We start from the raw sequence: 26,557 nt of genomic DNA on the forward strand, positions 1-26,557 counted from the left end.
TTCTTTTTTTTTTTTTTTAATGAGATGCAGTCTTACTCTGTCACCCAGGCTGGAATGCAGTGGCGCGATCTTGGCTCACTGCAACCTCTGCTGCCCAGGTTCAAGTGATTCTCCTACCTCAGCCTCCCAGGTAGCTGGGATTACAAGTATGTGCCACCACACCCAGCTAATTTTTGTATTTTTAGTGGAGACAGGGTTTCATCATGTTGGCCAGGCTGGTCTCGAACTCCTGACTTCAAGTAATCTGCCTGCCTTGGCCTCCCAAAGGGTTGAGGTTACAGGTGTGAGCCACCACGGCCGGCTCATAAAGTTTTATTGTGATATAATTTATACACAGTACCATAAAAGTCACCCTTTTAAAGTGTGTACTTCAGTGATTTTTAGTATATTCATAGAATTATGTAATCATAATTACTACTGAATTTTAGAACATTTTCATCATCCCCTGATCCAATCTTATGCCCATTATAGTCACTCTCCATTCTTCCCTAGCCCAAATCCCACATCTACCCCTTGTCTCTATGCCTTTGCCTGTTCTGGACACTTCATGTACATGGAATCATACAATCCGTGGCCTTTGGTATCTGTCTTCTTTAACTTAGCATGATATTTTCTTTCCTCCCTCCCTCTCTCCCTCCCTCCCTCCCTCCGTTCCTCCCTCCCTCCCTCCCTTCCTTCCTTCTCTTTCTCTTTCTTTCTTCTCTCTCTTTCTCTCTCTCCACTCTCTCTCTTTCTCCCTCTCCCCCTCCCCACCCCCCTCTCTCTCTCTCCTTCCTTTTTACGATGGGTTCTCACTCTGCTGCCCAGGCTGGAGTGCAGTGGCATGATCACAGCTCACTGCAGCTTCCAACTCCTGGGCCTAAACAATCCTCCTGCCTCAGCTCCCATGTAGTTGGGACTACATGTAGGTGCAAGCCACTGCATCCAGCCCTAGCATGATGTTTTCAAGGTTCATCCGTGTTGTAGCATGTATCAGTACTTCATTCCTTTGTATAGCTGAATAATATTGCACCGTATGAATATACACCAAAATCTGTCCATTCATCAGTTGATGGACAGTTGGCTTGTTTTTATTTTTTTGGCTATTATGAATAATGCTGTAATAAACAATCATGTAAAAGTTTTTGTGTCAGCGCATAAAAATTTTATAGGAAAACATTTGAGATAAATGAGCAAGAAACTTTACATAAGGGGGTGGGACTTCTGGAATGACAGAGAGGAATTAGGTTAACATATTGGCAAAACGATTAAAATCAACCATTCCTGAACTAAGTAACCAAAGGCAGGGAACGAACAAACTCATTTATCCAAGAAAAACTGCTGATTTTAGATAAAAACAATGGGGTCTTTGGAGATTTAACTTGGGGATATGCCCATTGCCCTGCTCCCCGGTGCTGGCATGCTAGCTGTGAACAGATGGCAGCCTTGCAGCCAACAGAGTGGATGCACCCTTTTGGAGCTCTGTTGAAACCACCATCTCCAGTGAACAGTTAATATTTTTACTGGTCTCACATCTCCCCTCGAAAGCCTGGATCCCAGGGCATCAGAACTATTTGATCTGATTGGAAGCTCTGCTCTGTGGAAAAGCCCTATCCCCAGGCTGTTATTGAAAACAACAAAGAACTTGGCCCAAAATTTCAAAGAAAGACCTAGGGAACTTGAAAAGTTCTGATATATTGCTGAGAATCTAGAAGACTTTATGCATGTTACAGGGATGTGTGCATGCTGAGGAAAGACCTGGGAAAGGAAAGGAGCTCCATCGCTCACCTGTGGCTGACCTTGAGATCCTGCACAAGCAGGAAGTAAATACTAAGGCTGATTTGTAAGCTGCCTGAAATTTGGAAGTATGCCTTCACATACAGTTTCCCTTAGCAAAGGTGGAAGACTTGTTGGCTTAAGGTATTTAAAGACATATTCTGACCAATCATTGGCTGATCACTAAACTATGCTAATTTCACAGTGAACCCAAGGAAGCCAGGCTTAAAAATACTGTTGTCCTTGGGAATCTGTGGGGGATTGGTTCCAGGACTCCCTGCAAATACCAAAACCTGGAGACGCTCAAGTCCCTTATGTAAATGGCATAGTATTTGCAAATAACCTATGCACATCCTCCCATCTATTTTATTTATTTATTTTTGAGACAGGGTCTCACTCCCATCATCTAGGCTAGAGTGCAGTGGCATGATCATGGCTCACTGCAGCCTTAACTTCTCAGGCTCAGGAGATTCTCTCATCTCAGCCTCCTGAGTAGTTGGAACTACAGGCACATGCCACCATACCCTGCTAATTTTTTTGTATTTTTAGTAGAGATGAGGTTTCACCATGTTGTCCAGGCTGGTCTTGAACTCTTGGGTCCAAGCAATCTGCCTGCCTCTGCTCCCAAAGTGCTGAAATTACACGCATGAGCCACCGTACTCAGCCTCCTACTTCAAATAATCTCTAGATTACTTATAATACTGAATACAGTTGACCCTTGAACAACACAGGTTTGAATTGTATGGGTCCACTTGAGCACTGGTTTTCTTCAATAAATGTATTGAAATTTTTTTTTTGGAAGATTTGCAACAATTTGAAAAAAGCTGCAGACAAACTGTGGCCTAGAAATATTTTAAAAATTAAAAAAGAATTAGGTATATCACGAATGCATAAAATATATGTAGACAGTAGTTTATTTTATAACTTACTACCATAAAATATGTACAACTATATTATAAAAGAGGGGTGGGGGGTGGCTCACACCTGTAATCCTACCACTCTGGGAGGCCGAGGCAGGTGGATTGCATGAGCTCAGGAGTTTGAGACCAGCCTGGGCAACATGGTGAAACCCGTCTCTACTAAAATACAAAAAAAAAAAAAAAAAAAAAAATTAGCTGGGCGTGGCAGTGTGTGCCTGTAGTCCCAGCTACTTGGGAGGCTGAGGCAGGAGAATTGCTTGAACCCGGGGGTTGGAGGTTGCAGTGAGCAGAGATCGTGCCACTACATTCCAGCGTGGCGACAGAGCAAGACTCCATCTAAAAAAAAATATGTATTATAAAAAATTAAAGTTTATTAAAACATATGCACATGAAAATTTATAGACCATGCATGGCACCATTTGCAGTGGAGAGAAATGTAGGCAAATGTAAAGACGCAGTATTAAATTATAACTGCTATAATTAATTGTAGTTCATATCATACTACTATAATAATATTGATTTGAACTAGATTAAGATAAGATACATATTGTAATCTCTGGAGTAACCATTATGAAAATAATTTAAAAATATTTAGTAAAGAAAACCAAAGGATTTTTTCACTAGAAAAAATATATATAACACAAAAGAAAGCAATAATGGAGGAACAGAGGCAACAAAGAGACACAGACATATAGAAAACAAATAGCAAAATGGCAAATCTAAATCCTACCATAGAAATAATTATATTACATGCAAATGGATTAAACTTCCCTATCAAAAGGCTGAGATTGTCAGACTGGATAAAAAACAGAATCCAATTCTATGCAGCCTGTCAGAGACTTTCAATTCAAAGACACAAATAGGTTGAAAGCAAAAGGCTTGCAAAAATATAGCATGCAAAAAACAAAAAACAACAAAAAAACAAAAAACAAAAACAAAACCCAAAAAAGAACTGGAGAGGCTATACTAATTTCAGACCAAATATACTTTAGGACAAAAAACAAAGTTAATAAAGACACAAGGGGCGTCTTATAACAACAAAAGTCTTAGTACATCAGGAAAAATCTTACAATTATAAACATATGCACCTAACAATAGAGTCCCAAAATACATGAAGCACAAACTGACAGAATTGAAGGTATAAATGAATAATTCAACAATAGTAGTTAGACACTTCAATACTTGACTCTCAGCAATGGATAACACAATTAGAAATCAACAAGGAAACCGAAGACCTCGAAGACACTATCAACCAAACAGAACTAACGGATACCTATAGAACACTCCACTAAACAAAACCAGAATACATACTATTTTCAAGTGCACTGAACTATCTCTAGGGTAGACCACATAATAGGTCATAAAACAAGCCTGAATAAATTTTAGAAGATTGAAAGTAGACAAAGTATGTTCAGTAATTATAATAGAAGTAAACTGGAAATTAGTAACAAAAGGAAATTTTGGAACCGCACAATAATTTAGAAATTACACTAAACATTATTTTTTTTTTTTGAGGTGGAGTCTCACTCTGTCACCCAGACTGGAGTGCAATGGCACGATCTTGGCTCACTGCAAGCTCCGCCTCCCGGGTTCACGCCATTCTCCTGCCTCAGCCTCCCGAGTAGCTGGGACTACAGGTGCCCACCACGATGCCCGGCTAATCTTTTGTATTTTTAGTAGAGACGGGGTTTCGCCATGTTAGCCAGGATGGTCTCGATCTCCTGACCTTGTGATCTGCTCGCCTCGGCCTTCCAAAGTGCTGGGATTACAGGTGTGAGCCACCACGCCTGGCCTACACCACACATTTTTAAAAACTGTAGGTCAAAGAGAAAGTTGCAAGGGAAATTACAAAGTATTTTGAACTAAATAACAATAGAAACCCAACATATGAAAACTTATAGGATGCAGTTAAAACAGTAGTTACAGGAAAATTAATAACTTTAAATATCTATGTTAGAAAAAAGAAATTATCTCAAATTAATAATCTAAACTTTCACCTTAATAGTCTTGAAAAAGAGCAATTTAAATCCAGTGCAAGCAGAATGAAGCATATAATAGCTATTATAGTGGAAATAAATGAAATGGAAAGCAAAAGAAAAACGAATTAGTTGTTTTTGAACAAAAGTAGGCTCTTTAAAAAAATCAATACTTTAGCAAGATTAAACAAGAAAAAAGAGAAGAAACAAATGATCAGAATTAGAAAAAAGAGAGGAAACATTATGACTGACATCAGAAAGTAAAAAGATTGTAAGAGAATACTGAAGTCAGCAACTGAGACAAAATAGAAAAAAATTCTAAAAAAACCCCCAAATTACCAAAACTGCCTCAAGAAGAAATAAAAAATCTGAATAGATCTCCAACAGCTAAATAAATTTAATTTTTAAATAAAAATCTTTCCATAAATAATAGTTCAGGCTCAGATCGTTTCACTGGTGGATTATGTCAAACATTTAAAGAGGTAATATCAATAGTCTATCAACCCTTCCAGAAAATAGAGGAAGAATAAATATTTCCAAACTCAATCCATGAGAGTAGTATCACCCTGAGATCAAAGCCAAAGATACTGCAAGGAGGCCAGATGTAGTGGCTCATGCCCGTAACCCCAGCACTTTGGGAGGCCAAGGCAGGCAGATCACGAGGTCAGGAGTTCAAGACCAGCCTGGCCAAAATGGCGAAACCCCATCTCTACTAAAAATACAAAAATTAGCCTGGTGTGGTGGCATGCGCCTGTAGTCCCAGCTACTTAGGAGGCTTGAGTCAGGAGAATCGCTTGAAACCGGGAGGCAGAGGTTGCAGTGAGCCAAGACTGTGCCATTGCACTCCAGCCTGGGTGACAGAGCGAGACTCCACCTCAAATTAAATAAATAAATAAATAAATGGTGCAAGGAAAGGAAACTACCTACTAATAGCCCTCATTAATATACACCCAAAAATTCCCAACAAAACAATAGTAAACGGAATCCCACAAAATACAAAAAGGATTACACATGATGACCAAGTCAGACATACTTCAGGAATGCAAGGTTGGTTTAGTATCTGAAAATCAATTAATATAATACACCATATTAAGGAAACAAAGGACTAAACCCACAAGATCGTCTCACATAGAAGTAGATAATGCATTTGATTAAACCCAACAGCTATTAATGATAAAGACTGAATAAACTTGAAATAGCAGAAAACTTTTTTAATCTCACAAAGGGCATTTACTAAAGACCAGCAGGGAATATCACACTTAATGGTGGAAGACTGAAGGCTTTTTCTATAAGACTGAGAGAGGGTGGACGCGGTGGCTGTTGCCTGTAATCCCAGCACTTTGGGAGGCCAAGGCGGGTGGATCATGAGGTCAGAAATTCAAGACCAGCCTGGCCAAGATGGTGAAACCTCGTCTCTACTAAAAATACAAAAAAATTAGCCAGGTTTGGTGGTGGGTGCCTGTAATCCTAGCTACTCGGGAGGCTGAGGCAGAGAATTGCTTGAACTGGGGAGGCGGAGGTTGCAGTGAGCCAAGATTGCACTCCAGCCTGGGTGACAGAGCGAGACTCTATCTTGAGAAAAAAAAAAAAAAAAAGACTGAGAGCAAGGCGAGGATAACTGTTCTTGTCACTTCATTTCAGCATCATTATTGGAGTTTCTAGCCAGTGCAAACAATTAAGAAACAGGAACAAAAATTTTACATAATACCCAACGTATTCAAACCTGACCAATGAAATCTGGACACTGCACAATAAGTCTTGGCTTTGTCATTAACTATTTGAAAGACTGAAAAAAGTGACTTTAAACTCTTGGGATTCAGTTTTCTAATCTGTAAAATGAGAGAGCTCAAAATTTCTATGAAGCTATAATAACGGGAGCTTCAGTTTACAGTGAATCTCTTGATGATATTGATCATTATTGGCCAAAATTATTCACAGACTATTTTTATTTATAGACTCAGGGTCTAACTCAAAGCCACTTTCTGTCTGAAGCTCTCCCTAATGCCTGCGCTCCAAATGAGTCTCTTCTTTTTCTGCCCTCTTATGGTTGCTTGCTTGCACATCTATTTATAAGCTTAACATGGATTATATTGAAGTCAGTTCTGCATGTCCTTCTTAACCTGGAGATGTGAAATTCTCAAGGGCAGGAATCACATGTCCTCCATAACATCCAGCATAAGCGTCATGCATAGTTGGATTAGTCATGCATATGACTCATGCATATGACTCCTCCAGCATAAGCGTCACGCATAGTAGGATTGCAGATGCCCGACTTTCTTCCTTTGTTCCAGATATTTGCATTGCCGGCCAGAGTCCCTTTACAAATTTTACGTTTTTTGCAACAACACAGTTTTCCTTAAACATTAATTTTCCTTCTGTTTCTTAGGAGTGTGACTTCATAAAGGGATCTATTTCACCAACCAATGTGCCCCATCCGAAGATCTCAGTTTATACACAGGGACAACTTCTAAAGTTTAAGATACAAATTAGAGGAACAAACTCCTATAGACCCCTTCTATATTCTTGTTCTTCCTCCGTAAAGGTTTGACACGGGGCATAAATGTCATCATTATTTCTGGGAGACATTGCTATTGTGAAGAGCTGTAGACTTTGGTATCTCCTAGAAGCTCAGGGTTCAGGGTAGGGTGAAAGGGAGTTGAGAGAATAATCTTGGGGATTCAGTTGATGCTGCAACTTATTATTTGCTCCATCTATATTGCTCTGCCAAAAAAAAAAAAAAACAAAACCCAACCTGATTTGGTTGGGGATTTCTGAATGCTCAACTGGAGAAACTGTTCAAAAACCACAGGCTCACTATGTGCAAAGCCACATGCTAGAAGCTGGAATAACCCATTTTAGTTATCAAGTTGGCTTTATCCAAAATGAAGGTGTTGTCCTTTTCATAATAATTCATCAGACGTAGAAATTATCAACATAAAATGCAATTCTTTCAGCGTGCCAAATATGTTTATCCATCATATTTAGACTCTTGTGGCACTTGGAACTTAAATGTTCTTTCCTCAGTTATCAAGGCTATGCAACATTAGATTTAAAGCAATACAAAATGAATGCCGACTATGCATGACGCTTATGCTGGATGTCATGGAGGACATGTGATTCCTGCCCCTGGGAATTTCACATCTCCAGGTTAAGATGAACATGCAGAACTGACTTCAGTGTAATTCATGTTAAGCTTATAACAGATGTGCAAGCAAGCAACCATAAGAGGGCAGAAAAAGAAGAGACTCATTTGGAGTGCAGCCATTAGGAAAAGCTTCAGACAGAAAGTGGCTTTAAGTTACACCTTGAGTGGTAAGACTGTCACCAGGTAAAAGTGAGCCAGACATAGTCATTCCAGATCCAGGGAGCTGCAAGGGCAAAAACCTGGAGGCAGAGGTACAGGCAGCGGCCGGGGTGCCAGACACTCAGGATGCCGGTGTATCCAAAGCTGAGCCTGTTCTGGTCAGAGGCCTATTGAAGTGAGGTGTAATGCTCTGCTGGTCAGTTTCTTCATCAAAACGTGGGCTTCCCGAGGGCAGTGACCACAGCTGGCATCATGGGAATACATCATTGTAATCCCCAATGTCAGCACAGGGTCCGACATGTATTAGGCCTCCTTATATGTTTGTTATGTAAGTGTGTGGGGGGCAGGGGTGGTAGGGTGTGAAGCCTGGCCAAGACATTGTGACAAGAGGCCCAGTGGGACTGTGATGAGGGCCTGGAGAAAATCAGGGAACTGCGGAAGGAAGACAGGAGGGGCGACACAGGGCCAATCCAAGAGGAAGCAGTTGAGAGGTCAGACCTGCCGAGTTCTGCTCCTGGGTGACAGGAGGCAAGTGGCGACACCTTTTACCTGATATCTAGAGTACAGTCAGGCCCAGGGGAATTAGTTTCTTTTTTTGGGAGCAGTAAGGAAATAATCTATCTTAATACTTCAATGTGCCTAGCAGAGTTTTATTGCCAGCTGGCTGGGGATACAGCAGGCAGTACAGAAAGAATTGTTTCCAAAGTATGCCAGGCAGGAGTTTTGGGCTACAGGCTGCTTTCATGATCGCAGGAGGTCTGTGTGAGAACGCGGTCATACACATGTGGGCAAATCACTGTCCAGAACTGAACAGCAACTAAAGCTAAGTGGGGCACCTCTTCCTTCTGGTCCAGGGCTGCCAGTTTTATAAAAACAATCCTTTGCATTGCCTCAAAATAACTCCTGCAATTACCTTCACTTAATTTCCATTTGCGTAGGACCAAATTGATCACCAAATCAATTACAACAATCCAGATAAAAATGTGATTTTCTGTGGGGGGTGGTTCCCTGTAGCATAAATAGTTTTACAGCGGGAAGTTTGTTCTGGTGGATTTGGCTCTTCAATTCGTTGAACACTGGTTCATCAGTCTGAGTTTTGGTTGGGTCCGTGACACTGTGCAAGCCACAGCTTCCTCTTTAAAACAGAGCTAACAATATCCACCTTATGGAATTGTGTGAATTTACTGCGTAATAAACATCTGTCTGTCTCTCTGTCTTTCTCGTGCTCCCCCTTCATTGTGGCAAAATACACATAATATAAAATCCACTGAATTCACCATTTTAAGGGTACAGTTCGGTGGCATTAAGGATAGTCACATTTTTGTGCAATCACTGCCACTGTGCATCTCCAAAAGTTTTTTCTTATCCCAAACTGAAACCCTGTACCCATTAGACACGAACTCCCCGTTTCCCTCCCTCCCCCAGCCTCTGGCAACCAACATTCTACTTTCTGTATCTATGAATTTGGTCACTCTAGGCACCTCATATAAGTGGAATCATACAAAATTTGTCCTTTTGTGACTGTCTTATATTTCTCCTGGCATAATGTCTTCAAGGTCCATCCACAATGTCGAGTGTGACAGGATTTCCTTCCTTCAAGGCTGAATCATACTCTGTTGAATGTGATTTGGTTTATCCATTAGCCATAGATGAACACTTGGGTTGCTTCCACCTTTTGGTTATTGTGAATAATGCTGTGATGAGTACGAGTGTATCTGTTTCAGTCCCTTCTTTCTTTCTTTCTTTTTTTTTTTTTTTAAGACGGAGTCTCACTCTGTTGCCCAGGCTGGAGTGCAGTGGCGTGATCTAGGCTCACTGCAACCTCTGCCTCCCAGGTTCAAGCTATTCTCCTGCTTCAGCCTCCTGAGTAGCTGGGAATATAGGCATGTGCCACCACGTCGGGCTAATTTTTGTATTTTTAGTAGAGACGGGGTTTCACCATGTTGGCTAGGCTGGTCCCAAACTCCTGACCCTGTGATCTGCCAGCCTCAGCCTCCCAAAGTGCTAGGATTACAGGCGTGAGCCACAGTGCCTGGTCTCAGTCCCTGCTTTCAATTCTTTCAGGTATATACCCAGAAGTAGGAATCTCTCTTTAACAGAAGAACTTCGTCTTTTCTATTTCATTTCTCAGTAATTTTGCTACTAACATTTGGGGACCAACACAATAAAAACAAACCATCATTTCCCCCACCCTGAGGAGGCACTTTGTTGCTAATTCAGTGCCAGTTTTAAGGATGCTAAATAATATAGTAGTACTTCAGGGACTATTATGGCCATGGCTGAAAATAGAAAAATGATACTTCTATTAGTTGGTGAAAAACAGTAATAGAATTAAAACTCAATATAATATTGTTGAGAATTCATTGTATTGCCAAGATTAAGACATCCAGAAAAACAATTTCATAAGCAGTTAGAGATTGCTGAAAGACTGTTGACAACAGTATCAGTTTATGAACCAGTAAGAAAAGAAATAACTTTATTGCTAAGAAAGATGTAGTGACAGTTTAAATTGTACCAGGCAGCCCACAATAGTAATTCTTAGGAAGGGATGTAAGTAGTGACCTACATGCTGCTTTGAGCTGAATACAATGTGTTTCTTTCAATTTTGAGAGCAGATGTACTTACACAGATGTAAGCTGACACTGACAAATTGGAGCAGTTAAAGCTAGTGTAAAAGTATTTTGATAGATTTTTTTTTCACAAATTGCTTCATATTCTGACTTCACTTTAGGAATTCTAAGAGCAACTAAAGAGAGACCCTTAAATAATTCTTTTGATGTTGGTTTTCTTCTAATCCCTATTGTCAAATGCTCTATGTCTATCTGAACTCACTATCAGCATGCTGAAAGGTCACAAAAAAGGTATCTCTTCTATGTAATCGCCTTCAATGGTTCTGAACACAGCAATCATGTATCTTCCAAGCCTTCCTTTCTTTAGGTGACATGACCCTCCACTCCTCTTATGTCAACATTTCCAGGCTCTCCATAATCTTGATGACTCTTTTCTAAAGTCAGACAAATTGTTAATTTCTCTTTGACAAGAAGGCACCCCGAATGATACTTCACCTTTCAAATGTGGCTGACAAGTGAGGAATACAGAATGGCCATTATCATCCACATTCTGTAGGAAATCCTGCTAGGATGCAGCCTGGGAAAGCTTTGGATTGCATGGTGTGATGGTTAATATTGAGTGTCAACTTGATTGGATTGAAGGATGCAAAGTACTGTTCCTGGGTGTGTCTGTGAGGGTGTTGCCAAAGGAGATTAACATTGGAGTCAGTGAACTGGGAAAGGCAGACCCACCCTTAATTTGGGTGGACACCATCTAATCAGCTGCCAGCCCAGCCAGAATAAAAGCAGGCAGAAGAACGTGGAAAGACTAGACTGGCTAAGTCTTCCAGACTATATCTTTCTCCTGTGCTGGATGCTTCCTACCCTTGAACATCGGCCTCCAGATTCTTCATCCTAGGACTCTTGGACCTTCAACTACAGACTGAAGGCTGCACTGTCGGCTTCCCTACTTTTAAGATTTTGGGGCTTGGATTATCTTCCTTGCTCCTCAGCTTGCAGATAGTTTATTGTGGGACTCTACCTTGTGATCACATGAGTCAATACTCTTTAATAAACTCCCCTGTATATATACATCTATCCTATTAGTTCTGTCTCTCTAGAGAACCCTGACTAACACACATGGCCTATAATCTCATTTTTTACTTCTGGTAAGCTCTTTTTGGGTGACTTTTAGATCTTCTTTATATCAAATGATGTTAAATCATCCCAAATTTTGATCCTTTGCTTCAGTTAACGGGAAATGAAAGGCCTATCTTTTTTTTTTCTTTTTTTTTTGAGACGGAGTTTCACTCTTGTTGCCCAGGCTGGAGTGCAATGGCGTGATCTCGTCTCACTGCAACCTCCATCTCCCAGGTACAAGCGATTATCCTGTCAGTCTCCCAAGTAGCTCGGATTACAGGCATGCACCACCATGCCTGGCTAATTTTTTTATATTTAGTACAGATGGGGTTTCACCACGTTAGTCAGGCTGGTCGCGAACTACTGACCTCAGGTGATCCACCCATCTCGGCCTCCCAAAGTGCTGGGATTACAGGCGTGCAGCACTGCGCCTGGCCTATTCTGTCATTCTTATGCAATACATGCATATATCACCTATTCTTGCCAGTTATGTGTAGCAGCTAATGTGATGAGAAAAGCAAAAATAACAAAACCACAATTTACTGAGTGCGTTACATGGCCCTATGCATTTAAGTGCTTTACCTACAGTATCTTATTTATCACACCAGTATTAAGGATTATTATAACAATTACGAAGTATTATTATACCTATTTTCAATGAGGAAGCTGAAGCCGACAAGTTTGTAAACTCAAAATTGAAAGCTGGTTCTAATTTCTGTAGTCTTAACCATCCTGTACCCTCCCATAAGCATGTCATCTATATCCTTACTCAAACGCTAGCAAATTATTCACTAAGATTGGGCAAATCAGTAATCTCCTTTGGTAACACCAGTGATCAGTGATCAGTGAGTTGGCTCAGTCCGTTAACCAAAAAGCTGTTTAACCAACTACATATGTTCCTATTGCCCAGGCCTCGTTTGTTTGTTTTTCCTGCAAGGTAATTGTGATCTACTGTTTCCAATGCTATCCTAAGTACAGTCACATTCCTGTGATGTACCTCTCTCAACTAAGACAAAGAGGGAAATACGGGTAGTTCCATATACCCCTTGTTAATACATCTATGCTGTTTTCCCATTTTCGAAATCATCCCAAACCATCAATTTTAAAGTTTATTTTAGAATTTTGCAAGACTCATATGAAGGTAAATATTTGCAGTCTAAAAAAATCTTCTCTTCGGGAAAGTGAGATGACATTTACTCTTTTCCTGGTACATTCCTCATGGTTCCTAAAATATCACCAATAGTAATTGTGCAATCATATCTGGGTTCCTTCAGATGGAAACAAAATTTTCATGGCTTTATATGACTTCTTATTTGTGGTAGTTATCTGGTTTTTGTTCTAGGTTGAGCTTAGGTGAGTGGCGTCAACTTTGTCAGCTTGGAATTGGGCAGGAAATGAGAATCAGGGGCCACAGGGAAGAACAGGGGTGAGAAAAGCAACCTCAGTGGGTGCCAGAGGTGTAGCTGAGTCTGGGCACAGCCTCAAGTTTGTTTGTGTGCATGGCTGTGTTTGTTGTATCTGTTTATGTAGGTGGTGGATGGGCATTCCCTGGCTGCTTTGGAAGGCTCAGAATCTCCATGCACACTTGCAAACTTTTTTTTTTTTCTTTTTTTTTTTTTTTGAGACAGAGTCTCGCTCTGTTGCCCAGGCTGGAGTGCAGTGGCGCAGTCTCGGCTCATTGCAGCAAGCTTTGCCTCCCGGGTTCACACCATTCTTCTGCTTCAGCCTCCCGAGTAGCTGGAACTACAGGCGCCCGCCACCACGCCTGGCTAGTTTTTTGTATTTTTAGTAGAGATGGGGTTTCACCATGTTAGCCAGGATGGTCTCGATCTCCTGACCTCATGATCTGCCCACCTTGGCCTCCCAAAGTGCTGGGATTACAGGCGTGAGCCACTGCACCTGGCTCCACACTTGCACACTTTTAAGATTTTTACACTTCATTTAAACTGGTAAAAATGATGATGTCATTAGATTCTGATAAATTATAATACCTAAAGCTACCCTTAAAAATTTGTACAAAGAGATATACTCGGGCACGGTGGCTCACGCCTGTAATCCCAGCACTTTGGAAAGCCAAGGCAGGTGGATCACCTGAGGTCAGGAGTTCGAAACCAGCCTGGCCAACATGGTGAACCCCGTCTCTATTAAAAATACAAAAAATTAGCCAGGCGTGGTGGCAGGCACCTGTGATTCCAGCTACTCAGGAGGCTGAGACAGGAGAACTGCTTGAACCTGGGAGGCAGAGGTTACAGTGAGCTGAGATCACACCTTTGCACTCCAGCCTGGGCAACAAGAGCAAAACTCTGTCTCAAAAGGAAAAAAAACAAAGAGATACACTCAAAAACACTATAAATAAAAATAGAATCCTGAAAAAATTAAGTATCACATTGGAAGGTGGGAAAAATAAAATAGGGAAACAACAGACAAAATAAACAGAAAACAAAATAAAAAATGGCAGACTTAAGCCCTAACATGTCAATAATTGCATTAAATGTAAATAGCCTACATACGTCAACTAAAAGGCAGAGATTTTCAGAGTGATTAAAAAACACATCTATAAGAACCTCACTGCAAATATAACAATGTAGGCAAGTTGAAAGCAAAAGGATGGAAAATTTATATCATGCAAACATTAATTAAAGGAAAATAGGAGTTGCTCTACTAGTATCAGATAAAGTACACTACAAAGTAAAAAAAGTCAGAGATAGGGAAGTACATTATATAATGATATATCATGGGTTAATTCATCAGGAAGACATAGCAATCTTAGATGTTTATGCAGCAAACAACAGCATATATTGAATGAAAAAGCTGATAGAACTGAAAGGAGAAATAGAAAAATTCACGATTGTAGTTGGAGACCTCAGTTACTACCTCCCAACAATTGACAGAACTAGACAGAAAATCAGCAAGGATAGACAAGAACTCAACAACTCCATAAACCAATAGACTCAAACAGACATTAGAGAACACTCTACCCAAGAACAGCGGAATACTCATTGTTTCCAAGTGCCCATGGAACATATACCAAAATAGTCCATATTTGGGGCCATAAAAAAAAACTCAACAAACTTGAAAGAACTGAAATATACATAGTGTATTCTACAACCACAATGACATCAAATGAAAAATCAGTAACAGAAAGATAACAAGATCACCTTTAAACGCGGAAATTAAACAATGCAAAGCTTAATAAGCCATAGATAAAAGAGGAAATCTTAAGGAAAATAAACAAATACACTGAACTGGAGGAAAATTAAAACAAGCATATTAGAAGTTTTGAGACACAGCTAAATCAGTGTTGAGAGGGAAACGTATAGCACTAAATGTATATGTTAGAAAAGAAGTCTCAAATCAATAATTAAGCTTTTCCTCATGAACCTAAAAAAAGATCAGAATAAACTCAAAACAAGCAGAAAAACAATATAAAAGATAAAATACTTGAAAAGAATCAAAGTTCTTCTTTGAAAAGGTCAATAAAATGGATAATTTTTGCACAAGCCTGACAAAGAATAAAAGAGAAAAGACACTAATGACCAATATCTGGAATGAAATGGAATATCACTAGAGATTCTGCAGGTATAAAGGGATACTATGAACAACTGTATACTTGTAAACTTGGCAATATAGATGGAAGGAACCAATTGCTTGAAAAACAAAAATTACCACAATTCACCTACTTTTCAACAGATATTAGACCTGTAATTCTTAAGGATATTGACTTTGTAATTTAAAAGTTCCTCAAAAAGAAATATCCAGGTCCAGATGGTTTCACAGGAGGATGTCACCAACTTCTAAAGAAAAACCAAAACCAATTATACACAATCTTTTCCAGAAAATAGAAGAGAAGTAAACATTCCCATTATAAAATGAATTTTTATAAAGCTAGCATTACCCTAATATCAAAAGCAGAAAAAGACAGTACAAAAAAATAAAACTATAGACCTCATGAATAAAGACACAAATGTTCTTATCAAAACATTGGCAAATAGAATTCAGTAATATATATAAAGAATTATACACCATGACCAAGTGGAATTTACTCCGCTTGGATGGGATATTCCACTTTCAGAAATGCAAGGCCCGTTCCATATCTGAACATTAATGTAATCTATTGATACCATATTAAGAGGCTAAGGAAAAAAATCATATGACCCTATCAACTGATGCAGAAAATGCATGTAACAAAATTCAACTCTCATTCATGATAAAAAGTCTAAGAAAAATAGAAATAAGAGCGAATATCTTCAATTTGATAAGGAACATCTAAAAAGATCTACAGCTAATGATATACTTAATGGTGAAAGACAGAATGTTTTCCCCCTAAGATCATGAACAAGACAAAGATTTCCACTCTTATCATGCTTATTCAAAAGTTCTGGAAATTCTAGCTAGTATGGCAAGGAAATAAAAGGCATAGAGTTGGAAAGGAACCTAGTTCACCTAGGCTCAAAACCACCACCTAGTTCAAAACTGTCCCTGTTTTGTCTTGTCATCTGTTTGCAGATGACATGATTGCCTACAAAGGAAATCTGAAGAACTTAACAAAAAAACTTCTGGAACTAAGTGAATTCAGCAAAGTCACAGGATATAAGGCTAACATACAAAAATCAGTTGTATTTCTCTATGTAGTAATGAACACCTGGACGCAGAAATTAAAAATCCAATACCATTTACAACTGCTTAGAAAATAAAATACTTAGGTGTAAATCTAACAAAATATGTTCGGATCTGGTGAGCTGAAAAGTACATGGCACTGATGAAATAAATCAAAGATGATTTTAATAAATGGAGACACATAGCATGTTTATGAGTTGAAATACTCAAAAATAGGAGAAATGTCAATTCTCCCCAAATTGATATGCAGGTTTAATGCAACTCTTATCAAAATCTCATAAAGATTTTTGTAGATATAGACAAGATTTTTTAAAAATTTGTATGGAAAGTCAAAGGAACAAGAATAGCTAAAACAATTTTGAAAAAGGAGAAGGAAGGGGGAGGATTCAGTCTATTCAAAGACATACTCTATGGCTACAGTAATCTAGACTGTGTAGTATTGGTGAAAGGGTAGGAACACAGACCAGTGCAACAGAATGGAGAATCAAGAAAGCCCAAAACCTCCCTAACTGATTACTGACAAAAGTGCAAAAGCAATTCAAAAGAGGAAAGATGGCCTTTCTAATAAATGGTGCTGGAGCAATTGGACATCCACAGGCAAAAAGACGTAAGTCTCCCACCTTACGCAAACTCAAAATTGATCAAGGGCTTAAATGTAAAATATGAAACTATAAAACTTTTAGAAAAAACATTGAAGAAAAGCTTTGGGATTCTAAGCTAGGCAGAGTTCTTAGAATCAACACTAAAAGAATGATCCATAAAGTGAAAACCTGATAAATTGGATTTAATCAGAATTAAAAACTTTAGCTCTGTGAAATACCTGATTAAGAAGATGAAAAGATAAGCTAGAAATAGAAGATAATTGAAAATCACATATCTGACAAAGGATTAGTACCTAATATAAATACAGTACTTTCAAAACCCAACAGTAAAAAACAAGCAATCCAATTAGATAATGGGCAAAACTCATGAAGAAACACTTCACAGATAAACCCAGGAGAAGAGTTCAACATCACTAGTCATTAAGGAAATGAAAATTAAATTCACAATAAGATAGTACTCCACTCCTATCATAATGACTACAACAAAAAATTAATGACAGCAACAAATGTTGGTGAGGATTCAACGAAAAGGGATCATTCATACATTGCTGGTAGGAATGTAAAATGGTACAACCACTCTGTAAAACAGTTTGATGGTTTGTCTAAAACCTGAATATGCAACTACTATATGACCCAAGAATTGTACTCCTGGGAATTTGTCTTAGAGAAATGAAGCGTATGTTCACTCAGAAACCTTTATAGGAATGGTTACAGCAGCTTTGTTTATAATCGCCCCAAATTGCGCACAACCAGGATATCCTTCAAGGAATGAATGGTTAAACTGTAGTACATCCATGGAATACTTCTCAGCAACAGCCTGGATGAATTTCCAGAGAACTATGCTGAATGAAGAAAGCCAGTCCCAAAAGGTTACATACTGTGTGATTCCATTCATGTAAAATGACAGAGTTACAGAAATGGAGAACAGATTGGTGATTGCGAGGGGTAAAGAAAGTGGTGGGGTTGGGAGGGAAGTGGGTGTGGCTATAAAAGGGCAACATGAGGGACCCATGCAATGATGGAAATGTTTGTATCTTGACTACCAGTGTCAATATCCTCTTTGTGATATTGTTCTACAGTTTTTTGAAATGTTACCACGGTGGGTGGGGGGGGAAAACTGGGTATAAGGTGCATGAGATCTCTCTGTACTATTTTTACAACTACATGTTAATCTACAATTATCTCAAAATAATTTTAATCTCAAAATAAAATTTTAATTAAAAAAATCCCACCTTCAGACAATGAATGAGTCAGGATGCAGGAAAAACTAATAGTGTGGTTCACCATCTAGTTCAAAGCTGGACATTGGAACTGAGTTTGTACCTAAGAATAAGTAGAACCAAGTTAGTCTCCAAATTTTTAAACGTCTGCCATGATGAACCAGGGTCTGTGTGTGTGGCAGTGAGAAGAGCACACTTGAAGAATGTACTCATGGGTGGACTTGGGACCTGGTTGGAGACAGGCACTACTATGCATAAGGCCTGCATCTTCCATTTTCCCTGTCTGATAGGTCAGTGCTGTCACTGTGGGAGAGAGAAGGCAGGCAGGAGAAGGGAGGTGGTGGAATTTTCCTCTTATTCTTCTCTGAGTCTCTAGAAATTTGGGTACTTCTTAATGACCAGACACATGTCCTGAATATTGCTCCTGCCTTACCCCCACATCACTGGCTACTGCAAACTCCTAATAGTCACCTTGATGCCATAATTAAGGCAAAAAAGACTGGAGGTGGCCATAGGAAAAGGCATTTAAAATACATTTTGATGTGCCATGAAACACAGATGAATGCCCATTCATTGGCTATGTTTTACATGGGCTTTAGCTGTAGAAATGCAACAGCTCTGAAATTTATACTTAGAGAAAATAACTACTCATTCATCTGAACAAAAACATAAAAGTTTTCCAGGAAATGTGAAGAATCATTAACTTCACAGATTCTGAACAGAAAGTATAATTGCATACGCTATAAGGCAGAAGTATATTTGAAAGCATTTGTGAGTGAAATGGAAACATGCCCCATCAATCCATTATCACCAGAATCACATAGTATTTAAATGGCCACAGATACTCTGACTAAATCAATTAGGTACAAAGACAGAAATAATGAGTACTGTTGGTGGTCAAAAGCTTTTCCAGATAGGTGTTTAGGTGTTGGAAAGATGACTTCTACCCACTTTTATTACCTTTATGCCATGGTAAATTATAGTAATTTCTTATGCCTTGGGTGAAAGAATGGAAAGATAATATTCACCGTATTGAGGATGGTTTAACTTTTCTATAGAGAAGCACCGAACAATCACTACCACATGAAAAGGGATAAAAGCTTTCTGGTCAAAATGTACTCTATTATGCTAGCAATATAAGCTATTCGACATATTCTGTTGTGGAAATTCCCAAGCTCCCAAGATTCCGATAAGGAACGTGCTGCACGAGCTCAGGGCAGCAAGGAGATTAGACAATAAATAAACAAAGCTCCCCTTTCACAAGCTGCGGTCCCATGGCTGAGAATCCGCTCTTGTTCTTCTCTCTTCTAACCCCTGGGTCTTGTTCTTCCCTTCCTCTTCTCTGGGTCTTTATTAATTGGGCTTTGTGTCTATTCTAATGAAAAAGGCACCGATGCTCCGTCCCACTCCTTCCTGCGCCCCCGTGGAAGGACGGTGGGGGGACGACGGCGTAGGTCCAGGGGAGCTGAGAGTGCGTCTGTGTTTCCCCGGAGACGCGCTCGGCCCGGGGGCGGGTGGCGGCGTCAGTCCCGGGGAGGACCGGCAGGGGGCGGTCGAGGCTGAGGACTGCGCAGGACCGCCCGGGCGGGACGTGCCGTGTGTACTGCGGGACTTGCATAATACCACTCTCCAAGTCAGGGTGCCTTCCAGGAAATCCTGAGCGAGTTGCTCATTCAAGTTTTTCCATGTTTGACGTTGGTGACTTAATCAAAGAATCAAAGGATGTCAGGGGCCTGGATTGCTGTTATCTTCTTTCAAAGGCTCTCCTTCAACGGATAAAAAATTAAGGCTCAGAGCAGCTCTGGGTCTAACTAGCTAGTTAGTGGCAGAGCTGACGCTGTAACTGAGGTCTACTAACTGCCTGCCCTAGCTCTGAAAAAAAAAAAAAAATCCATGTGGCCACTGCCAGCTTCTATTTACAAGATAAATTTCTAACGCTGAAAGAACATTCTCTCCTCTCCCGGTCCCTTCTGAGTTCGCATTTCTGTGGCTTAAGCTGCAAGTGGTGAAGCTTATTTCGGGAACAGAAGCGCAAATTTAAAATACAATAGAATTATGAATAGATTGCAATATTTGACTATTTTATAACAACCATAGACTCTGATGGTAAAAACAGTTAAAACCTAAGCCTTTCTTTCTTTTCTTTTCTTTCCTTTCTTTCTTTTCTTTTCTTTCTCTCCTTCCTTCCTTCCCTTTCTTTCTCTCCTTCCTTTCTCTCCTTCCTTCCTTTCTCTTCTTCTCTCCTTTTCTTTCTCTCTTTCTTTTCTTTCTCTCCTTCCTTCTTTCCTTCCTTTCTTTCTCTCTTTCCTTCCTTTCTCTCCTTTTCTCCTTTTCTTTCTTTCTCTCCTTCCTTCCTTCCTTTCTCTCCTTCTCTCTCTCTCTCTCTTTCTTTCTTTCTTTCTTTCTTTCTTTCTTTCTTTCTTTCTTTCTTTCTTTCTTTCTTTCTCTTTCTTTCTTTCCTTCCTTCCTCCCTCCCTCCCTCCCCCCCACCCCCCTCTTTCTTTCTTTCTTTCTTTCTTCTGTCCCGGAGATCTTAATGAGCTCCTTGTGTATTCTTTCTTTCTTTTCTTTCTGGTCTAGTGTAGCTGCCTGTCGTCTTTTAATATATTTAGGAATAAGGAGGCTTTGTGAATTTTACATTCATGTGATCATTTTGGGAATTTTATTAATAATATTATTATATCCTCAATTTCTGAGCCCCACCCCAGAACAATTAATTTAGGCTCTAAGGGTGTTTTTAAAAACAGGCTATTCAAAATGTGGTTCTTGGACCAGTGGCATTGGCACCCCCTGGGAGCTTGTTAGGCATGCAGAATCACAGGCCCCACTTCAGACCCGCTAAATTAGCATCTGCATTGTAACAGGACTTCCAGGTGATTCTTAACTGCACTAAAGTTTGAAAAGACCAACTCTAAGCCCCCGATAACTCCAGTGAACATTTGGCAGAGGGCCTCACCTCTTCAGCATGGTATTGAACGGAGCCCCTGGTCCTTACCTTAGTGTTCCTGTCCATAATTAACTTGGCAGAGCCCATTTAAAAGAAGAGAACATTTTTACTTGTGCTTTAAGATCAGGCTGAAAGAATACTGGAATGAAGGAGTTCTTAATGAGCTCCTTGTGTATTCTTAGATGGGACTTAAAAATTTTTTTTTATTTTTTTAATGTGAAAGGGCACTATTGATACACAAGGAACTCGTGGGAACTGAAAAAAGGAAACCAGTTTCTAGGTGGGCTCTGTTGCCTGTATTTGACTCACTCACCGATAACACACTCATAAACTGACACACACATAAACTCTGTTGGGCTCTCAGGATATAAGAACATTTGGTAATAAACTAATATTAGCAGATAATTTATCTTTTTTGTTTTGTTTTATTATACTACCAAGCATAACACAGTGTTTTGTATATACCAGGTGACTAACTATTGTTGGCAGCAAGAACAGTAGATAAATATTTATGGAAGGAACGCTGTGCAAACAGTACCCTCTAGGAACAAAATGTTTTCCTAATTAGTTAGAATAGTTAATAGTTTATTGTTATTCATGCAAGAATTGAGCAATTGGGATTGATGATTTCAGTTATCTGGTTTGCTTTTGGATAAGATGACTTTTGATCCCCTAGTGCTGAAAACAAGAACTGGCAGAGCAAGTTCTGGTGTACCTAACAATAGTGTTCATAAATAACTTCCTGCCACACTGATAAAAACATCTAGCTAAATTCATTTTTAACTGATAGTAAGTGCTATTTGTTTTTAACTGATTTTCCATGCCACATATTTGTAAATCTATTTCACTGTGTTCTGGGAGCACGAAAGACTGGTGCTACATTAATTCAAGCATATATTAGAGGGAAATGGATATAAACTTTCTGCTAATATTTCCAGGTAGCCTGACAGTCAGATGTTAGAAGTATTCAATTGCCAAGTTAAAAAGTAACAGGAAGAATCAAAAAATATTTTTCTGTGATTGGGAATCCAAGCTGGGAAATGAGACTTCTTTGCCTTGTCTTCTACTTTCAAATTGGGGTGCTCACCTTCCCCAACATCTCCCAGCAGCTGCCACCTCACCTCCTTCCTCCTACTTAATAGGAATAATTTTCAGCTGCTCTCTGAGGGAAGGTCTGCAGCAGTCGCCAACTTCTGGGTTTAGGCGGCATCCTTAAGCTGTTCCAGTAACTCAGTGCCAAAAAGTTCCTCTTGGTGAGTGCCAGGATACAAAAAAGCTGAGATTTCCTGTTAAGGACTTAGCAAAAGCCTGGTCAAGTTCAACCTGGGTCTGCCAGGTACCCAAAGCCTTTTCTCGTTAGTGACAAGGTAATTCAAGAGGAAGAATGTGTAATGGTCAGTGACGGCAGGACTTGTGGTAACTGTGGAGTCTTAGAGGCAGGGGTGCTGAGAAGTCGTTATGGTGTGAGTATCATATAGGACATGATAGATGGATGGAATACTAGTGATGCCTTTTCTTAGCCCATTTAGGAGAGACTGTGTCTGGGATGTCTGAGGGGTTCTGTTTCAGATGGCAGGAGCTGTGTCATGGAAAGGTGACATATTCGTCCTGCTGGAAGGGCTGGCTTGCTCACCGCTGCTTTGCCTCTCGCTCCTGGAGATGATGTCTCTTATGAAACGGGCTAGTGGGGGATAGTGGTGGTGGGCCCAGTCGTTCCATTCGGTTATTTGGCCTAACTTCTTAAAAATACGGTTTTACTGAAATATAACATAAATGCAAGAGTACATGGTCAGGTCATAAGTTTACAGTGTTGGGGCTCAGAAACCTGTACCCCAAAATATGGAGCTCGGACATGCTGAACTGAATAAGCCTCTCAAGTCTCTCTGAGCTCCCAGTCCCAGTCTCTCATCCTGGCTCTCTCTGAAGACATAGAGTGAAGTTGTTCTCTAAAGTTCCCTCATCTGCCTAAAGTCTGGACCTGCCAAAGAAAACAACCACCCCCTTCCTCCCACCACCTCCTGCACTCCCTGCCTACTGTCCCTTTCCTGCGTTTTCACTAACTGAACTCATATCGCAGGAAGAAAGACTGAAGTCTGTCCAGGTAAAGAAAGTCTCATCTGGACGGACTTTTTTCACAAACCACTGTCGCTCTGCAGGCCCCACAGGCTTTGTCCCAGGTCACTGTGTGTTCTTTAAGCCCATTGAACTCTCCTAAAAATCATTTAGTACCTCCCTAAAATAATACACACTTCCCCATCTTTCTTTTTCCTTAAGAAGGGTATGTAAGCATCTGGATCCCACTGGGTTATTTTGTAACAATTCTCCTTCCATTCCCCTGTGTTATGCACATCGATATGGTTTGGCTTTGTGTCCCCACACAAATCTCATGTCAAATTGTCATCCTCACATGTTGGCGGAAGGGCCTGGTGGGAGGTGACTGAATCATGGGGGCAGACTTCCCTCTTGCTGTTCTCTTGATAGAGTTCTCAAGAGATCTGGTTGTTTGAATGCGTATAGCACTTCCCCCTTCATTCTTTCTTCCTACTGCTCCAGCAATGTAGGACATGCCTGCTTCCCTTTCCCCTTCCACCATGATTGTAAGTTTCCCGAGGCCTCACCAAGCACGCTTCCTGTACAGCCTGTGAAACCCTAAGCCAATTAAGCCTCTTTTCTTTATAAATTACCCTGTGTCAGGTAGTTCTTTATAGTAATGTGAGAACAAACTAATACATTAAATTTGTGTGCCATTTCTTCTATTAATCTGCCTTTTAAAAGTTGATTTTCAGCAAACCTTCAGAGGGTGAAGGGGAAGTTTCCCCTTGGCCCCTACAACAGCTCAAAAAATTGTCACAAAGTGAACATGCCCATGGAATCAACTTTCAGTCCAGAAAGTGAACATTAGTTATATTCCAGAGGCTTGCTACCTTCTTTCCCCTTCCCAGAGATAAACAACCCTGGCTTCTGATACCATAGATTCGTTTGGTCTGTTTTTGAACTTGAGATAAATGATGTCTAGATCTAGTAAATGGTAAAGGTGCAGCTTGAACTCACGTCCTTGGAATTCAGAACGAATGCCCATGTCACTGTACATTCTGCCAAGACACTCAGCCCTCAAGAGCTGTCAGCTTCTGTGAGTTTCCCACCCCCATCCGGCACAGGATTGATGAGCAGAGAAATGACCAGTGAGCAGCCTGAGGGAAAAGACGGGGAAGATGGTAAGTTTGTGCATTCCGCATACGGGATCACCAGCCTCTGAGTAACAGATCGTGTGCACTGAATGGAAAACAGCATTCAGAAAGGGACTATAGATCCTCAGAAATCTAGAAGAGGATATGTGGCTAATTTTAGAGGAAACATTAACTTTGGCTTTTAAAGGTTACCAGTCTCATAACCATCATCTGGAGCTCTCTGTCTCCAGGGAAAGTAGTGCTAGCAAGTCAGGAGGAGTGTATTCTTCTGTGTTTGTACAGCCCCAGTGAAATGAATCCTCTGAAAGTAGTCAGTCTCTTCTGTTTTTTCATTTTCCAGGTTGCATGGGCCTCAGTCTAGATCCAAGAGACCGGCCTCTTGGATGAACAAATGCACGCTTAACCTTTAACATGGGACCAGTTCTTGGCTTCCTTGCTTAGGGAGCATGACCACTCTTGGGGCTGTGCCGACTCTCCGTTATAACCAGAAAGTGAAGATGCTTTTTCTCCTCACCCCCTGCCTTCCCTGCGCCAGTGCCAGCACATTTCTTTAGGGACATTATGCTATTTCTCTAAGCCTGAAAGTGATAAAGAGGAAATTATGTAACATTTGCTCAGTTGCTATTTAAAAAACAAAAACAAAAACAAAACAAAAACAATTCAAAGAGATCACTGGGAAAATTATTTCATTTAATTAATTAATTAATTTTGAGACAAGTTCTCACTCTGTCACCCAGGCTGGAGTGCAGTGGCACAATCATGGCTCACTGCAGCCTCAACCTCCCAGGCTCAAGCTATCCTTCCACCTCAGCCTCATGAGCAGCTGGGATCACAAGTGTGGCCACCATGCCTGGTTAATTTTTAAAATTTGTTTTGTAGAGACAGGGTCTCACTATGTTGCCCAGGTCAGTCTCAAACTCTCAAGCAATCCTCCTGCCTCAGCCTGACAAAGTGTTGGGATTATAGGCGTGAGCTTTTGCACCTGGTCAGAAAATTATTTTTTATGTGCTTTTTGGGAAAATTATTTTATATATGCTTATAAAAGCAAATTTTCAAGGCCCCATACATTAAAAAAACTTACATTTAAACAATAGTTCAGTTTCTTTTTAAACACCCATTCATAGGTATGGCTGGGGTGTTTTGGCAGAGAGCGGGGAAAGGGTTTAGATGAATATTCGGAAGGAAATTCAGAAATACCCCCAGGGACCAGAAACTTCATGATAAAATGCATCCTCCACAGGGAGAGGCATTTCAAAACCAGCCCATGTGAATCAAGTGACCATTTCAGGGAAGAAACTGAATATGTTAGAGACAAAAACAAAGTGTAGATAATTTTATAAAAGTGGAGGTGGTGGAAGAATACGCGGATGTGGCTGGAGAGAAGGGAGCGATGGGTTATATAAGTTTATATCTTAAAATAAATTTCTTAGAGCTCTGTTTGTTATTATTTCATATTGAGAATAAAGGAAGCAAAGCAGTTCTAAGCCTTTTTATTTGGAATTTTTCATACAATATTATGATGATCATCTCCTCTTGAAAAAACAAAAGAGATGTAAATGTCATTCCAAGGGCATTTGGGGTAGAGAGTATGTTTCAATTCTGAAAGGGGTTCCAAATCAGTGATAAATTTGGGTCAGCAAGACAAGAAAAATGTTTTGCATTTTGATGTTCAATACTGTTTCTTTCAGTACAATGACATAATTGGACTAATAGGAATTGGCCCCCTGACCCCTCAGATATTAAGAGAAAAGGCTGACCAGAAACAAATTCTTTAGATCTAAAGTCAGAGTCCTGGGTAGGTGGTCCTTTTCTGAGCTGGGGGGATGTGTAGTGTGTGTGTGTTTGTAGAACTCAAATGGAATGAATCCTTCGTAAGTAAGCAGACTCTCACATCTGTTCTTCTGTTTTTGCTTTTTACCAGCCCTTTACTTTGTGTTCTTATCAATGAGACTTACTCTAGAATTTCTGATTAAAGATATATCTTTAGGAGAAAAATTTAATTGCATGCATCATAGCCTTGAACTAATTATATTTTTGGGTACAGGTAAAAAGCAGGTCAAGGCTGGGCACGATGGCTCATGCCTGTAATCCCAGCACTTTGGGAGGCAGAGGAGGGTGGATCACCGGAGGTCAGGAGTTCAAGACCAGCCTGGCCAACATGGTGAAACACCGTTTCTACTAAAAATACAAAAGTTGGCTGGGCGTGGTGGCAGGCACCTGTAATCCCAGGTACTTGGGAGGCTGAGGCAGGAGAATCGCTTGAACCCAGGAGGCGGAGGTTGCAGTGAGCTGAAATTGTACCATTGCACTCCAGCCTGGGCGACAAGAGCAAGACTCCA

At 40.2% G+C, this 26,557-nt stretch overlaps 1 protein-coding gene across 36 annotated transcripts in view, besides 1 other annotated feature; it reads right to left on the reverse strand.

Annotated features, from left to right (window-relative positions):
* Positions 1-26,557, reverse strand: part of DLGAP1 (DLG associated protein 1) — a 959,276-nt gene that overhangs the window by 255,849 nt on the left and 676,870 nt on the right. The window lies entirely within an intron of this gene.
* Positions 19,527-19,746: a silencer, noted in NCBI's record as "silent region_9258". NCBI's record gives its function as "represses an Ori minimal core promoter by ATAC-STARR-seq in GM12878 lymphoblastoid cells {active_cell/tissue: GM12878}" and the evidence as "EXISTENCE:reporter gene assay evidence [ECO:0000049][PMID:35858748]".

The sequence above is a fragment of the Homo sapiens genome, chromosome 18 (genome assembly GCF_000001405.40).
Source record: "Homo sapiens chromosome 18, GRCh38.p14 Primary Assembly".
Classification (NCBI taxonomy): Eukaryota; Metazoa; Chordata; class Mammalia; order Primates; family Hominidae; genus Homo; species Homo sapiens.